This window comes from Homo sapiens, chromosome 17 (genome assembly GCF_000001405.40).
Source record: "Homo sapiens chromosome 17, GRCh38.p14 Primary Assembly".
NCBI lineage: Eukaryota > Metazoa > Chordata > Mammalia > Primates > Hominidae > Homo > Homo sapiens.
Genome location: NC_000017.11, coordinates 35,868,905 through 35,886,829, shown reverse-complemented (window position 1 = coordinate 35,886,829; position 17,925 = coordinate 35,868,905). Strand labels below are relative to the sequence as shown.

General features: G+C 45.4%; 1 protein-coding gene and 1 long non-coding RNA gene across 4 annotated transcripts; one reads left to right on the top strand and one right to left on the bottom strand.

The window, feature by feature from the left end:
• Positions 1-966: 966 nt before the first annotated feature.
• Positions 967-17,858, bottom strand: LOC105371745 (uncharacterized). Of its 2 annotated transcripts, none has more exons than XR_007065724.1 (5): positions 17,712-17,858; positions 2,295-2,448; positions 2,051-2,163; positions 1,218-1,322; positions 967-1,124 (listed from the first exon to the last, which is right to left on the bottom strand). It is a non-coding gene; the product is annotated as an uncharacterized LOC105371745 (long non-coding RNA). The 2 variants fall into 2 exon arrangements; XR_934699.2 differs by having other exon boundaries at positions 2,051-2,143.
• On the top strand, positions 6,470-15,339 carry CCL5 (C-C motif chemokine ligand 5). Of its 2 annotated transcripts, NM_001278736.2 has the most exons (4): positions 6,470-6,600; positions 8,191-8,302; positions 11,188-11,269; positions 14,366-15,339. In NM_001278736.2, exons 1-4 carry the CDS (start codon positions 6,525-6,527, stop codon positions 14,558-14,560), a joined length of 465 nt encoding a protein of 154 aa, NP_001265665.1. In that variant the 5' UTR covers positions 6,470-6,524; the 3' UTR covers positions 14,561-15,339. The 2 variants fall into 2 exon arrangements, with proteins under 2 accessions (NP_001265665.1, NP_002976.2); NM_002985.3 differs by lacking the exon at positions 11,188-11,269.
• Positions 17,859-17,925: the final 67 nt, after the last annotated feature.

Here is a 17,925-nt window from a genome sequence, read left to right as displayed (position 1 = left end):
TATAAATTAGGCTCAGTAAGAGATTAACAACAATAATAACAAAATAGAACAATTATAACAATATACTGTAATAAAAGTTATGTAAATGTTTATGTCTGGAATTTTCCATTTAATATTTTCTGACCATGGTTGACCAAGAGTAACTGAAACCTCAGTAAGCAAAACCAGAATAACCAAAATACAGATAAGGGAGGGCTACTGTAGAGTTAATAATATTGTATTGGATACCGGAAATTTTCTTTTTTTTTTTTTTTTGGAGACTGAGTCTTTCTCTGTTGGCCAGGCTGGAGTACAGTGGCACAGTCTCGGCTCACTGCAACCTCCGTCTCCCTGGCTCAAGCAATTCTGCCTCAGCCTCCCGAGTAGCTGGGATTACAGGCGTGTGCCACTAACCATGCCCGGACAATTTTTGTATTTTTTGTAGAGACCGGGTTTCACCACGTTGGCCAGGCTGGTCTCGAACTCCTGACCTCAGGTGATCCACCCGCCTCAGCCTCCCAAAGTGCTGGGATTACAGGCGTGAGCCACCGCGCCCAGCCGAATACTGGAAATTTTCTAAGAGAAGAGATTTCAAGTGCTCTCACCACATACACAAAAATAGCGGTAACTGTATGAGGAGATGGATATATTAATTTGTTTAACTGGAATAATCATTTCACTATGTATATGTATATCAAAACGTCATGTTGTAAATATGATGTTTATTAAAAATAGTTTTTATTAAAAATAAATAAATAATAAGTCATGAAGCTGGATTTTGAACCTAGAAGTCTGACTCCAGAGAGCCCATTTAATTAAGATGCTACAAGAAGTTAGTATGACTTAATCTGCATTGATATAGCAGCTTATCTAAGACATTTATTGGAAAGTAGGCAGAGAATACAAATAAATAGAAAACACATAGGACACTGTCGCTGTGTTCATGGAGTTAAGACAAGACCAGTGAAAGGATGATTCACAATAAAAGAGTGTAAATTTACTTGTTTATTGTTTATCTCCCTTCTCCCCGTCCCCCTACCCTATATCCAAACAAGCTCCAGATGGCAGGTCTTTGCCTGTCTTACTAGCCATGGTGTCTGCAGAGCGTAGAAGGGTGCCCAGCTCACAGCAATTCTTAGTAAAATCTGTAGAGTGGGTAAGGAATGACTGAGTGGTATGGACCATGCACACTGAAGGGACAGGGAGAGCAGAGACAGCTCCATGATGGTGTATCTCACCTTACGTCTCCTAAGCACATCCATGATCATTATTTCCCTTGATCCTCTCCACCACTGCAGTGGGTCAGACAGGAAGCAGTTCCTGGTTTTCAGGAACATAATGTGCTGGGTGAATAATAATGATAGTTGCCATTCATTGAACACCCACCCTGTACCAGGCACCATACTGTTTACATGGGCTCTCTAATTTGCTTATGGAATCAGTTCATTAGCACCAGAGAAAAAATTGAAGATAGCCCATCAAGCCCAAACCTTGATTTTGCACAGGAGAAAATGAATGGTAGACATGAAATAAAAATTAGATTCTCCTCCCTCCTGTGCTCCTCACAATCCATTAGAATCACTGAAAGGGAAGAAAAATACTCCCATGGCTGGGTGTGGCGGTTCATGCCTACAACCCCAGCACTTTGGGAGGCCAAGGTGGGAGGATTGCTTGAAGCCAGGAGTTCGAGACCAGCCTGGGCAACATAGCAAGATCCCATCTATACGACAAATTTAAAAATTAGCCCAGCATGGTGCAGTGGCTCACGCCTGTAATCCCAGCACTTTGGGAGGCCGAGGTGGGCAGATCATGAGGTCAGGAGATCGAGACCATCCTGGCTAACACAGTGAAACCCCATCTCTACTACAAATACAAAAAATTAGCCGGGCATGGTGGTGGGAGACTGTAGTCCCAGCTATTTGGGAAGCTGAGACAGGAGAATGGCGTGAACCCGGGAGGCGAAGCTTGCAGTGAGCCGAGATCGCGCCACTGCACTCCAGCCTGGGTGACAGAGCCAGACTCCATCTCAAAAAAAAAAAAAAAAAAATTAGCCCAGCATGGTGGTGCACACCTGTAGTCCTTAGCTGCTCAGGAGGCTGAAGTAGGAGGATCGCTTGAACCCTGGAGTTCAAGCCTGCAGGTGATCAGTTAACTGCATTCCAGCCTGGGGAACAGAGTGAGATCCTGTTTCAAACAACAACAACAAAAATACTTTTGACATTCCCACTGCCTATTCCCACTCAGCAATCCCAACATCCCACCATCCTACCCACCCAACCTCTGTCCCACCACCACTTATACACAGATATACGTACACACACACACAGTGGAAAGGTTCGCTGGGACTCAAAGATGAGGAGCATGTCGCTGTTGTCTGCGGGTTTCCTCACCTCTATCCTTAGCTCCTGTCCCAACTCAGCATATCTAGTATCCAGGAAAACACTTTCCTTTCTTCCTTAAAGAGGGAAACTGAAATCAAGGAAAGAAAACAGAAATTGAGCTCACAGAAGAAAACTGAGCCTTGGTAATAGTTTTATGATTTTCTCTAGAAACAATGAAGTGTGGTAGAAAGCCCATGAACCCAGACTATAAGTCACTTAACCACTCTAAGCCTCAACTACCCATCTGTTTTAAAAAAGACTTTTTGTGGCCGGGCGCGGTGGCTCACGCCTGTAATCCCAGCACTTTGGGAGGCCAAGGCGGGCAGATTACGAGGTCAGGAGATTGAGAACATCCTGGCTAACATGGTGAAACCCTGTCTCTACTAAAAACAGAAAAATCTAGCTGGGCGAGGTGGTGGGCGCCTGTAGTTCCAGCTACGCGGGCGGCTGAGGCAGGAGAATGGCGTGAACCCGGGAGGCAGAGCTTGCAGTGAGCCGAGATTGTGCCACTGCACTCCAGCCTGGGCGAAAGTGAGAGACTCCGTCTTAAAAAAAAAAAAAAAAAGGCTTTTTGTAATAAATAAATATTTTTTTGTAACAAATACGAATACATATTGACTGGGGGTTTAGTTTAGACTGTTGAAAAGCATAAATTACAGAATATCCTTAAAGGCACTGACATCTTACTCTTAATGATAACATGATAATAATAGGCAATGTTATTAAGTACTTAACATGCGTCAGACGTTGCACTAAGAGCTTTGCAAGCATGAGAACATTTATAGGGACTTAATTGTCTCGATAGTTGTGTGAGGAACTATTATTATTATTATCACTGATTTATAGGTAAGGAAACTGAGACCAGAGAGATTATTAATAATTTACCTGAGGCCACCTGGACAATAAACAGGAGAAACTGCCGAGTCCCTGCTCTTAACCCACCGCCTTTTCCAGAACCTCTCACATGTTTGGTAACTTACCTTAGACCTAACGGGGCTTTGTGAAGGAAACAATTGGTAGAACATTTTTGTGTGGTTGGATGAATGTTTCTAAAGTGCTTGCAATTTGTTTCTTTAAATGAGATGGCCATACTTTCCAAAATTACGTTTCCATTGTTAATTGATTGAGCTGTAAGGAGGGTATGAGAGGATTGTTGTAAAGAGCTTGGAACAAGGCCAGGCGCAGTGGCTCGCATCTGTAATCCCAGCACTTTGGGAGGCCGAGGTGGGCGGATCGCCTGAGGTCAGGAGTTCGAGACCAGCCTGGCCAACATGGCGAAATCCTGTCTCTACTAAAAATACAAAAATTAGCCAGGCATGGTGGCGGACGCTTGTAATCCCAGCTACTCAGGAGGCAGAAGAATTGCTTGAACCTGGGAGGTGGAGGGTACAGTGAGCCGAGATCGTGCCACTGCACTTCAGCCTGATCAAAAAAGTGACACTCTGTCTCAAAAAAAAAAAAAAAAAAAAAGCTTGGAATGGCACCTGTAACCTAGAAAGGTCTTTTTTTTTTTTTTTTTTTTTTTTGAGACGGAGTCTTGCTCTTTCGCCCAGGCTGGAGTGCAGTGGCGCGATCTCAGCTCACTGCAAGCTCCGCCTCCTGGGTTCACGCCATTCTCCTGCCTCAACCTCTCGAGTAGCTGGGACTACAGGCGCCCGCCACCACGCCCGGCTAATTTTTTCTATTTTTAGTAGAGACGGGGTTTCACCGTGTTAGCTAGGATGGTCTCGATCTCCTGACCTCGTGATCCGCCCGCCTCGGCCTCTCAAAGTCCTGGGATTACAGGTGTGAGCCACCGCGCCTGGCCGAAAGGTCTTGATAACTGTTAACTGACTTACTGATGTGATTCACTGGACAGAGCTTGAGCATGGTCATCAGAAACACCTGCCTTCAAATCCCACTTATCAGCTGCGTGATCTTGAAGATGTTAATTATCTGTTCTGAGGCTTACTTTCCTCTTTGGTCAAATGAGAAGAACAACCACTCTGCCTCAAAGTCATCGTGAGGAAGAAATGTGGCAAAGTCTTCCCATTCTGGGTGATTTAGTCACCGTCAACCACCATGTTACAAGTGTGAGAGTAGCTAACAGAAAATGATCTCAGTAGGGGGTTACATTTTGTTTATTTTGCTTTTGTCACTCTCTTTTTTTTTTTTTTTTTTTTTGAGACGGAGTTTCGCTCTGTCGCCCAGGCTGGAGTGCAGTGGCGCGATCTCGGCTCACTGCAAGCTCCACCTCCCGGGTTCACGCCATTCTCCTGCCTCAGCCTCCTGAGTAGCTGGGACTACAGGCGCCCGCCACCACGCCCGGCTAATTTTTTGTATTTTTAGTAGAGGCGGGGTTTCACTGTGTTAGCCAGGATGGCCTCGATCTCCTGACCTCATGATCCGCCCGCCTCGGCCTCCCAAAGTGCTGGGATTACAGGCGTGAACCACCGCGCCCGGCCGCTTTTGTCACTCTCAATAAACACTTTTCTCTTAAATAATTCAGATGCCGGCCGGGTACGGCCTGTAATCCCAGCATTTTGGGAAGCCAAGGCGGGCGGATCACGAGGGCAGGAGATAGAGACCATCCTGGCTAACATGGTGAAACTCCATTTCTACTAAAAATACAAAAAAATTAGCCAGGCATTCTGGCCAGCTCCTGTAGTCCCAGCTACTTGGGAGGCTGAGGCAGGAGAATGGCGTGAACCTGGGAGGCACAGCTTGCAATGAGCCGAGATTGTGCCACTGCAGTCCAACCTGGGCGACACAGCAAGACTGTCTCAATAATAATAATAATAATAATAATATTATTATTATTATTCAGATGCCAATTTCAGCCTAGCCCGGACCAAATTGTTGCTAATTCTGAACTACTAAAATAGGAATTGATGAAGACTTACTGTATCCAGTTCTTTGGAATGCAGTAAGGACCCTAGCTCTAATCCAGAAGTTCCACATGGGTTCAGTTTTGAGGATACTCCTAACCACGAACCCTTTAATGTTGGGCAGTACTTAATGGACAGAGCACTGAAGTGGGAGTGAGGGCAACTGGGTTCTGATCCCAACTCTGTCATTCATTTGCTGTGTGTTCTTAGCAAGTCACTCCTGCTCACTGGGCCTTGGTTTCCTCTTGTGCAACTGAAGAACATGGAAAAAATGATCCCTAAAGTCCTTTGAAGCTTTCATATTCTGTAACTTTTGTGCCCAAGAAGGCCTTACAGTGAGATGGGATCCCAGTATTTATTGAGTTTCCTCATTCATAAAATGGGGATAATAATAGTAAATGAGTTGACACGCGCTAGGACAGTGGAATAGTGGCTGGCACAGATAAGCCCTCGGTAAATGGTAGCCAATAATGATAGAGTATGCTGTAAGATATCTTTCTCTCCCTCTGCTTCTCAACAAGTCTCTAATCAATTATTCCACTTTATAAACAAGGAAATAGAACTCAAAGACATTAAGCACTTTTCCCAAAGGTCGCTTAGCAAGTAAATGGGAGAGACCCTATGACCAGGATGAAAGCAAGAAATTCCCACAAGAGGACTCATTCCAACTCATATCTTGTGAAAAGGTTCCCAATGCCCAGCTCAGATCAACTGCCTCAATTTACAGTGTGAGTGTGCTCACCTCCTTTGGGGACTGTATATCCAGAGGACCCTCCTCAATAAAACACTTTATAAATAACATCCTTCCATGGATGAGGGAAAGGAGGTAAGATCTGTAATGAATAAGCAGGAACTTTGAAGACTCAGTGACTCAGTGAGTAATAAAGACTCAGTGACTTCTGATCCTGTCCTAACTGCCACTCCTTGTTGTCCCCAAGAAAGCGGCTTCCTGCTCTCTGAGGAGGACCCCTTCCCTGGAAGGTAAAACTAAGGATGTCAGCAGAGAAATTTTTCCACCATTGGTGCTTGGTCAAAGAGGAAACTGATGAGCTCACTCTAGATGAGAGAGCAGTGAGGGAGAGACAGAGACTCGAATTTCCGGAGGCTATTTCAGTTTTCTTTTCCGTTTTGTGCAATTTCACTTATGATACCGGCCAATGCTTGGTTGCTATTTTGGAAACTCCCCTTAGGGGATGCCCCTCAACTGGCCCTATAAAGGGCCAGCCTGAGCTGCAGAGGATTCCTGCAGAGGATCAAGACAGCACGTGGACCTCGCACAGCCTCTCCCACAGGTACCATGAAGGTCTCCGCGGCAGCCCTCGCTGTCATCCTCATTGCTACTGCCCTCTGCGCTCCTGCATCTGCCTCCCCATGTAAGTCCTGGTCTTGACCACCACAGCCCCTGGAGTCAGACTCTGCCTAGAATGCCTACCCCATCCCAATGACTGTCCCACACCTTGCCCTCTTTTCAACTGTAGCATGAATACTGTCTGAACCCCATTATTTACATTCTTATGAATTGTCTTACCCATATGTCCTGTTGTCCTTGAGAGATCTCTATGCTGCTTCATGGCAGGGATCTCCTGATCAGTTTTTCTGTCTTTAAGGTCTACACCCTCAAGGCCTACAGGTGTTCACTGAGTGTGGACTCATGTTGGGGAGATTAGTAGTCATGAGTAGCTCACACTGACTTTGAAACACGTCTGACTCATGCCTGTCAGCAGCAGGGTTTCTAAGAAATTTAACTAAACTAAAACTTCCTGAGACCCTGAGACAGCCATATTCTCTCTCATTTCATAAATGTAAAAAAAATTGGCTTATGAGAGGGTATGTGGCTTTATTAGAGTGAATACATTTAAAAAACAAATAAAAACAAGGAGAGGATAATAAAAGCTAATTAAATGGTTACTATGGATCAGGCATTGTGCTGATTTTGGCACATCTTTTTTTTTTTTTTTTTTTTTTTTGAGATGGAGTCTTCGCTCTGTCGCCCAGGCTGGAGTGCAGCGGCACGATCTCGGCTTACTGCAAGCTCCGTCTCCCGGGTTCATGCCATTCTCCTGCCTCAGCCTCCGGAGTAGCGGGGACTACAGGCACCCGCCACCACACCCTGCTAATGTTTTGTATTTTTTAGTAGAGACGGGGTTTCACCATGTTAGCCAGGATGGTCTCGATCTCTTGACCTCGTGATCCGCCCGCCTCGGCCTCCCAAAGTGCTGGGATTACAGGCGTGAGCCACCGTGCCCAGCCGATTTTTGTACATCTTATTTAATACCCACAACCCTTCTTTGAGTAGCTGTCCTTGATGTACAGATGGGAAAACAGAGAGGTTAAGTAACTTGTCCATGGAGGCACACAGCTAGGAAATGGGGAGACTGGTATTCAAACCTGGTTCCATCTTGCTGGGAAAATAAAAACTACTCCTCTGCTGGGAAGTGGCAACTGATGCTTCCCAACGTCATCTTGAATTAACTGACCAACAAGAAGTTCTCTGTTGAGAGCCCTTCTCACTGAAGCTCAACCAGAGCTCCCAAGATACAATATGCATCTCCAGGCCCTTCTTAGGATCCTGGCTGAGTCATGGAGCCTGAGCTTTGGAAGCCTCCCCACAACCTGCCCTAGGTCTCAAAGAAACCAAGTTCCAAATCCATTGAGGATGCTGGAAGGGCAAGAATGAAGCCAGAGGACCCAGGACAAGCCAGGAGGAGGCCCTGAAAGCCCAGGGCAGAAGGTTATGGTGTAGAGGGATGGATACAAGCTTGGCTCAAGGATTAGATGAGGCATTGGAATCCCCACTCTGCCACTGTTTATCCATGGCCAAGTGACTTTACCTCTCTGAGCCTCAGTTTCTGTCAAGGAAGATAACAGTTCTTTCTAAATAAATCATATAAAGTGTCCAGCACAATGTCAAGTGTGCAGTAGCAATGAATAAAAGGGTCTCCCTCCTTCCTTTCCTCTTCCAGATTCCTCGGACACCACACCCTGCTGCTTTGCCTACATTGCCCGCCCACTGCCCCGTGCCCACATCAAGGAGTATTTCTACACCAGTGGCAAGTGCTCCAACCCAGCAGTCGTGTGAGTCTCAGCCCCATGGAGCCCTCCCAGAGCCTGTTCCCTGAGGAGTCCTCTGAGAGGATGCCCTACCCACTTCCACCTATCCTCCAGCTGCAAGCAGCCACAGCTCCTCCATCTCTAGCCTCAGAGTCCCCTGCTATCATGTAAAAAGACTAGACAAGCTGTCCTTAGAGAATCGTGCCCACTCCAATGGACTATGTTCCCAGGACTCCAATCTTTTTTTTTTTTTTTTTTTTTTTTTTTTTGAGACAGAGTCTCACTCTGTCGCCCAGGCTGGAGTGCACCGGCACGATCTCGGCTCACTGCAAGCTCCACCTCCTGGGTTCATGCCATTCTCCTGCCTCAGCCTCCCGAGTAGCTGGGACTACAGGTGCCCACACCATGCCTGGCTAATTTTTTGTATTTTTAGTAGAGACGGGGTTTCACCGTGTTAGCCAGGATGGTCTCGATCTCCTGCCCTCGTGATCTACCCGCCTCAGCCTCCCAAAGTGCTGGGATTATAGGCATGAGCCACTGTGCCTGGCCTAGGACTCCAATCTTTACTAGTGTGGCCTTTACTTGAAACATGGTCTGGAATGCTCCTATGTGGGGAAGATCAAGTCAGTCATCCCCTTCAGTGAAGAACCCCATATTTCACACAGTCCCCCATATTTCACACCCAATCAAATCCACCTAAACCTCAGAGGAACTAGGGAGAAGAGGTCAGAGGTCAGGGATCTATAACTGTAGTCAAATAAAAAAACAAAAAGCCATCCATCAGAGAAGAAATAAGGAAATGAGATTCACCTTTAAATATGCAAGCTAGTATATTTGGAAAAATATAATAAACCCTACTATATAGGAAATGCCTACTATGTGTCAAATGTCTTATGTGCCTGATCTTTAAATTACACTTAGCTCTGACAAGTATGCATAATTCTCTCCATGTTTCAGGTATTGAAACTAAGATTCAGAGAGGTTTATTGATTTAGCCAAGGCTGCACAGTAAATGAGGGATGAAGTCCATCTCTAGAGCCTCCTCTTTCTACTATAGCAAAGTCATTAGTGACAATTGCTTAAGAAATTTATGGTAGAGACTTAAAAAATGAAAATGGTGCAATTCTGAAGTTTCTTATATAAGAGTGAAGTTTTTGTTTTTGTTTTTGTTTTGAGACAGAGTCTCACTCACTCTGTTGCCCAGGCTGGAGTACAATGGTGCAATCTCAGCTCACTGCATCCTTTGCCTCCCGGGTTCAAGCAATTCTCTTGCCTCAGCCTCCTAAAGTGCTGGGATTACAGGTGTGAGCTACTGTACCCAGCCAGGGTGAAGTTTTTTAATCCAAAAATTTATGACACTGGCAAAGTTAGAGGTACTCAAAGACAGACTTTGGATCTGATGAATCCTTTTAAGTATAATGGTAATATTTAACAATTACTAATTTTATTTCTGAAAACAAATATTTTTCAAAAGAAGAAAATCCTTCCCTGAGCACATACTATTGGCAGACACAGATTACTAAAGCCACTGTCCCAGCCCAACCTTATGGGACTCATAGTCTAATAAGAGGGGCAAGACAGACACAGCAATGACTAGAGTACACAGCAAAAAAAAACATGACAAGGGAAAGAGAGAGGAAACACATTCAGCTTCAGGGATTTACAGGTTTGCTGCAAATGGTGCTGTCTGAGGAGAGATTTGGCCTGGCAGAGAAAAGCCTAGGGAATGGGATATATCAGGAAAAGGGACTGTCCCCCAGGATTCTACTTTGGTTTATGTACAGTCTCCATGTAGGAAAGCACGGAGTGTCAGGAAAATGCAGCAAAAGTGCTAAATGCAGCTGTCAAGTGTAAAATGAGCTAGAACAGGGAAAGCTGAGAAAACAGGAGTCCAGTTTAGCGGCTACTGTTGTTATCCACGTGAGTAGTATTGGAGGCTGAACAGTGCCTGAAGGAAAGGAGAGACAGGAGGTTTCAAAGACAGACACTTTTGAAACCTTCAAAGGTGGAATTTGCAAGCCCTAGCAGGTGATTTGAGCTCAAGAGCAAGGGAGAAAAATGGGGGTTAAGGATGACACTGAGGTTTCCACCTCTGGCTGGAGAAGTGTAGAACCATCTTAAGCCTTGTGAAAGAGCTGTTTAAAGAGGAAAGAGCTAAGGTGCCAGCAAGATAACCCTGTGGATATGTCCAGTGGTGATGGTGAAATGAAGGGTTGGTAGCTGAGGAAAGGGTGTTAGGGCTGAAAATATGACATTCTTTTGTGGGAAAAAGGGGTATCCCAATTTTAAAAAGGCAATGCAGCCTGCCTTGGTGAGTACTGGCTCTAGAGCTAGTTTGCTTTGTTAGGACTCCAGCTATGACACTTGGTGAGTGTAGGCCCTTCAATTAACCTCTCGTAACCCCAATTACCTCCTCTACAAAATAGGGTAATAGAAGTACTTCCCCCACTGGGTCACAGTAAGATGAAAATACTTAGAATATGCTCTGGTACACAGTAGGTGCATAAATGTTAGCTTATTATTATCATTATCATCTAAATGCATTATTGCGTACACAAAAATAACAGGTGAAACTTAAGGAATGAATGAGTGAATTGCATTCATTCACTTAATCATTCAATAAACATCCATTAAGCATCAACTATGTGCCAGGCCCAGGGCCAGAGACTTAGGAAAAAACGCAAAGAAGAGAAAAGGGCAGCAGCTTTGAGAACATCCGCTCTTAAGGGGTAGGCAGAAGGAGGAAGTCAGGCAAGCAGAGGGTGCCAAAAATGGAGGTAAGGAGGGAAGACTTGGCAAGGAGGGGCTGTTCTTTGGTATCACAGTCTGCGGGGAGGTTGGGGGCAGGAAATGGAGGCCTGAGCTACCCTCATCTCAGGTATTGTTTTCCTGGCCTTTTGACTTCCTAGCCACAGGTCAAGGATGCCAAAGAGAGAGGGACAGCAAGTCTGGCAGGATTTCCTGTATGACTCCCGGCTGAACAAGGGCAAGGTCTGTGTCTGAAACTCTCACACCACCCTAAATAAGAACACAAACTCTAGAAAGTATGAGAGGCCAGAATATTGCTTCCGTTCCCTTTTCATCTCTGCACACCGGGGTGGGAGAAAAAGAGATGGTCAAGTGGCTCTGAGTGAGGCTGGGAAAGGGAAACACAAAGAGAAACCAAGAAATCCTCATTCTCACCAGACAATCTAAGGCTTCACTTTGTCTGAAAATATTTAGGCTCAAGAATGTGCAGGATACATCCAAAAATGGTTACGATGGTAAATTTTATGTTATGAATATTTTACCACAATTAAAAAAAAATTTAATGCTGTTAGGCACAGAATCAGGAGAACCACAAGAGCTTAATGACTTTGACAGACACACCAATACATGCATAGAGAAAGAATGAAAATATTAAACCAAAGAATGAATGAGTGATGAAATATTTAAATAAGGTGGGTACATAGCACATCAGAACATATTTGGGAATAATACTTCCATCTAGGGAATACATTTCTTTTTTTTTTTAATGTGATAGTAATCACAAAAGCAAAGGCGGAATTTCTGTGTTGTTTGAGACATATAATTCCTTTGTTATGCTATGTAATCATGTGGCATACTGCATGGGTCAATAAGATTTAAAAAATAAACTTCTATCTGGGTGCGGTGGCTCACGTCTGTGATCCCTGTACTTTGGGAGGCTGAGGCGGGTGGTCATCTGAGGTCAGGAGTTCAAGAACAGCCTGGCCAACATGATGAAACCCTGTATCTACTAAAAATACAAAAACATTAGCTGGGCGTGGTGGCGCACACCTGTAATCCCAGCTACTCAGGAGGCTGAGGCAGGAGAATCGCTTGAACCCGGGAGGCGAAGGTTGCAGTGAGCCAAGATTGTGCCACTGCACTCCAGCCTGGGCAATAAGAGCAAAACACCATCTCAAAAATAAAAAATAAAATAAACTTCTGGCCAGGCATGGTGGCTTACCCCTGTAATACCAGCATTTTAGGGAGATTGAGGCAGGAGGATGGCTTGAGCCCAGGAATTTGAGACCAACCTGGGCAACGTGGTAAGAGCTTGTCTCTACAAAAATAAATTTTTAAAAATTAGCCAAGTGTGGTGGTATACACCTGTGGTCCCAGCTACTCAGGAGGCTAAGGTGGGAGGATCACTTGAGCCCAGGAGGTTGAGGCTGCAGTGAGTTGTGTTCATGTCACTACACTTCAGCCTGGGTGACAGTGAGACCCTGTCTCAAAAATAAAAATAAATAAATAAACTTCTGGATGGCTGCACAATAAATAGTTGATTTTCTTCCTATGAGAATCTCTAAAATAACATATCCAGTATTTGAACTTAAGTAAAATCAGTGTTCAAATTTCAAATAATAATAAGAATAATGTGCAGGAAAAAATCCTAAAGGAAAAGCCAAAATGGGAAAGGGTAAGTAGGCAGGACTGACCCTGAAGTAATGTGTTAATTGGCAGCGCTGCTAGCAAGGCCCAAGGTCTCGCACAGGTAGAATCAGTTTCCCAGCAGACAGGTGAGGCAGGCAGCTGGACTGACCCTCATGACCCCCAACTTTTACATTTCCAGCTTTATCATCAATGACTATAGAGATAAGGCCTCTGATTCTCATAGGCCTCCACATTCTGGCTGGTTACTTGGTGCAAGTGCTTTGACATTGCCATTATCTCATGGCCCTCAACTCCCCTGAGCCACAGTGTCTAGTACCAGGACTTTTAGTCTCATGTTGCTCTCATCCACCCTAAAGGAGAAGTTTCAGAGCATTCTAGTAACAACACATGAATGGTATTTTTCCAAACTTATTCATACATATTATCCTTTGAGCTTCACAGTAATTGTGCAAAGAATTATTTCTATCTACATTTCAGAGCTTAGCAAATAGAAGCAGAGGCTTTAAGTGATTTGCACAAAATGATCAAACTAATAAATGGTGAAATGAAGACTCAAGGTCATGCCCATCTTTCGTTCACCCACCCATGCACAGATGTATTCACTTGTTGAGTGTGCCAGGCACTGCGTTGTCTAAAGCCAAATCAGATGTTCTTTTAAGAACTTCTCGGCCAGGCGCGGTGGCTCATGCCTGTAATCCCAGCACTTTGGGAGGCCAAGGTGGGTGAATCACGAGGTCAGGAGATCGAGACCATCCTGGCTAACACAGTGAAACTCTGTCTCTACTAAAAATACAAAAAATTAGCCAGGCGTGGTGGGGGGCGCCTATAGTCCCAACTACTCAGGAGGCTGAAGCAGGAGAATGGCGTGAACCCGGGAGGTGGAACTTGCAGTGAGCTGAGATCGTGCCACTGCACTCCAGCCTGGGTGACAGTGAGACTCCGTCTCAAAGGAAAAAAAAAAAGAGGCCAGGCGCCGTGGCTCACGCCTGTAATCCCAACACTTTGGGAGGCCAAGGTGGGTGGATCACCTGAGGTTAGGAGTTTGAGACCATCCTGGCCAACATGGTAAAACCCCATCTTTACTAAAAATACAAAAATTAGCTGGGCATGGTGGCGGGCGCCAGTAGTCTCAACTACTTGGGAGACTAAGGCAGGAGAACCGCTTGAACCCGGGAGGCGAAAGTTGCAGTGAGCTGAGATCGTGCCACTTGCACTCCAGCCTGGGTGACAGAGCAAGACTCCATCTCAAAAAATAAAAAAAAAAAGAACTTCTTGTCTCCCACTTATTCAATCATGACTCAGTTCTTGAGGGACACCTTATTCTCTCTGCATCTTAAGCACCCAGCACAAGGCCTGGAGCAGAGGAAGTGCTGAGAAAAGTCTAGTGATTGGCAGGCTCAGCCCTGGGCTTCAAGGCTCCGTATCCTCTTAGCTTTTCAGGCTACATGCATTTGTGTGAAGGCGATTAAAATGCACACAAATTTGTTTCTGGCTTGGAGCCCTTTGATCCAACAGATGAGGAAATGTTCTCTCCTTAAAAGCCACAAATAAAATCTTATGGAGCTCCAAATATGCCCTACCCCGATATCATCATAATTTCCCTTTATACCTTAATCCACTTCATCCCCCAAACTGGCTGTCCCGGTACTGACAAGGTCTCATCCTCCCTCTTCTTCTCCTCTCCCACAGCTTTGTCACCCGAAAGAACCGCCAAGTGTGTGCCAACCCAGAGAAGAAATGGGTTCGGGAGTACATCAACTCTTTGGAGATGAGCTAGGATGGAGAGTCCTTGAACCTGAACTTACACAAATTTGCCTGTTTCTGCTTGCTCTTGTCCTAGCTTGGGAGGCTTCCCCTCACTATCCTACCCCACCCGCTCCTTGAAGGGCCCAGATTCTACCACACAGCAGCAGTTACAAAAACCTTCCCCAGGCTGGACGTGGTGGCTCACGCCTGTAATCCCAGCACTTTGGGAGGCCAAGGTGGGTGGATCACTTGAGGTCAGGAGTTCGAGACCAGCCTGGCCAACATGATGAAACCCCATCTCTACTAAAAATACAAAAAATTAGCCGGGCGTGGTAGCGGGCGCCTGTAGTCCCAGCTACTCGGGAGGCTGAGGCAGGAGAATGGCGTGAACCCGGGAGGCGGAGCTTGCAGTGAGCCGAGATCGCGCCACTGCACTCCAGCCTGGGCGACAGAGCGAGACTCCGTCTCAAAAAAAAAAAAAAAAAAAAAAATACAAAAATTAGCCGGGCGTGGTGGCCCACGCCTGTAATCCCAGCTACTCGGGAGGCTAAGGCAGGAAAATTGTTTGAACCCAGGAGGTGGAGGCTGCAGTGAGCTGAGATTGTGCCACTTCACTCCAGCCTGGGTGACAAAGTGAGACTCCGTCACAACAACAACAACAAAAAGCTTCCCCAACTAAAGCCTAGAAGAGCTTCTGAGGCGCTGCTTTGTCAAAAGGAAGTCTCTAGGTTCTGAGCTCTGGCTTTGCCTTGGCTTTGCCAGGGCTCTGTGACCAGGAAGGAAGTCAGCATGCCTCTAGAGGCAAGGAGGGGAGGAACACTGCACTCTTAAGCTTCCGCCGTCTCAACCCCTCACAGGAGCTTACTGGCAAACATGAAAAATCGGCTTACCATTAAAGTTCTCAATGCAACCATAAAGCTGACTCTTGATTTCCTCCCGGGGAACTGTCCTTCCCCATGAGCATTAGGCACACAGGGGTCCAGGGCTTGCAAACACCTGATGTCCATCCTAGATTGGGATGACAGGGCTGAAAACAAAAGCTCTCCGAGAAGGGGGCATGGGTAGGCACAGCAATTAAACTAATCAGTGACTTACCCACTCTGGAGGGGGAGGGGAGACAATAGTCACTACGTCCCCACCCTTGAGTCCCCAAGTTTATCTTACTGCCTGCCACAGCATCTCTCTGTTTCCTCAGACCTTGGTTGGCCCTTCCTCCCTGGCCTACCCTCTACCTTATCCCCAGTGGATTTCTTTAACACCACTCTTGCCCCTGGAATGAGATTCAATGGCAATTCCAAATGCCTCAGGTCTTTCAAATAAGGACAATGAGGTATTTTGTGTTTTTCCACTAGTACACCAGCTCCTTTAAGGTGGGGTATTTCAACTTTCCCAAGCTTGTCCCTTTATGTAAACATATATTGACAATATGTATGGCCATAACAATAGTTAACATTAATTGAGCACTCACTATGTGCCAGGCATTGGCTTAGCCCCTTACATTCATCATTCTTTTTCATCCTTATAACCCTATAGGGTTAGGTACAGTTATTAGCCCTGTTTATAGTCAGGAAAACCCTTAGCAAGAGAGGGAAATGATTTGCCAAAAGCCCCACAGCTCAAAGAAAAATAAAGCAGGTGGGCCGGGCGCGGTGGCTCACACCTGTAATCCCAGCACTTTGGGAGGCTGAGGCAGGCAGATCACGAGGTCAGGAGATCGAGACCATCCTGGCTAACACGGTGAAACCCCGTCTCTATGAAAAAAAAAAAAAAATTTGCCAGGCGTGGTGGCGGGTGCCTGTAGTCCCAGCTATTCTGGAGGCTGAGGCAGGAGAATGGCGTGAACCTGGGAGGCAGAGCTTGCAGTGAGCCGAGATCACGCCACTGCACTCCAGCCTGGGCGACAGAGTGAGACTCAGTCTCAAAAAAAAAAAAAAAAAGAAAAAAGAAAGAAAGAAAAATAAAGCAGGTGATAAAGCTTTACAATTAAGTTTAAACCCATCAGGTCTAATGCCAAAATCCATGCTTTTTTTTTTCCACCCTTAATTTGCAAAATTCCAAACTTATGGAAATTTGCAAGAATACACCACATACCCTTCATCTAGAGTCAAATATTGACATTTTACCAATTTGCTTTATCTGTGTGTGGGGGCAGTGTGTGGTCAGTATACACATTTTGTTTCTGAACCACTTGAGAGTAAGTTGCAAATGTGATATCATGTCATCCTTAAAAGTGTCAGCATGTATCTACTAATAACAAGGACATTATAAATAACCACAACATGCATACCATACTCAGGAAACTTAACAATGACACAATATACAGTCCATAATCAAATTCCTCATAGTCCAGTAAGGAAGACAGACCTGTGAGCAGATTATACATATGAAAAAGACTTAAAGTAAAGCAAAGTGTACAAAAAACTGTGGTCACACTGTGGAGAGAGGGAATTCTATCACTGAGTGGGTGGATGGGCAGGGGGTAGGAACCCTGAGGGAGAATAAAGACTTCAGAGATGAGAAAACATTTGAGTGGACTTTTTGAAAGATCTGAGTGCCAGTTTAACAGGTTTACAAGTAAAAGACTGACAGGTAGAGGGAACAGCATATGCAAAAGCAAGAGGTATAAAAGGCAGCTCCTTCATCAGGTCAAATAGCGAATGCATGCTGGGCTTAATACCTAGGTGAAGGGTTGAGAGGTACAGCAAACCACCATGACACACATTTACCATTTATCTATGTAACAAACCTGCACGTTCTGCACATGTATCCTGGAACATAAAGTAAAATAAAATAAAAAGTTGAAAGAAAATAAAAGAAAAAGGCAGCTCCTTACCACACAGATAAGAGTTCAGTCTTTTGCTGCCAAAGACGGGGAGAGGGTATGTATAAAAGGGACTTTCTGGGGCCAGGCGCAGTGGCTCACATCTGTAATCCCAGCATTTTGGGAGGCCAAGGTGGGCAGATTACCTGAGGTCAGAAGTTTGAGAACAGCCTGGCCAACATGGTGAAACCCCGTCTCTTCTAAAAATACAAAAATTAGCCTGGCATGGTGGCATGCACCTGTTGTCCCAGCTACTTGGGAGGCTGACGCAGGAGAATCGCTTGAACCTGGGAGGCGGAGACTGCAGTGAGCCAAGATCATGCCACTGCACTCCAGCCTGGGCGACAGAATGAGACTCCCTCCCAAACAAACAAACAAACAAATAAATAAATAAAGGGACTTTCCCATCCCTGCCATTTTCCCAGTGAATAATCCTAAGAACAGGTCTTGATCCTAACATGGGCTTACTTGAGCTTGACAGTTCACCAGATGGTTTGATTTTCTTCTCCAGTTTATGCCTCACCACAGGCCCTCTAGTTAAGCCAGACAGGAATGACTTTCCTACTCGTCCAGTGAGCAAACTGAAGCTCAGAAAATAAAGTGACTAGCTCAAGTCCAGGCCAGTAGATACCACAGCTGGGGCTCAGAAGTGAAACCTGAGTGTTCTATTTACCAAAGTAAC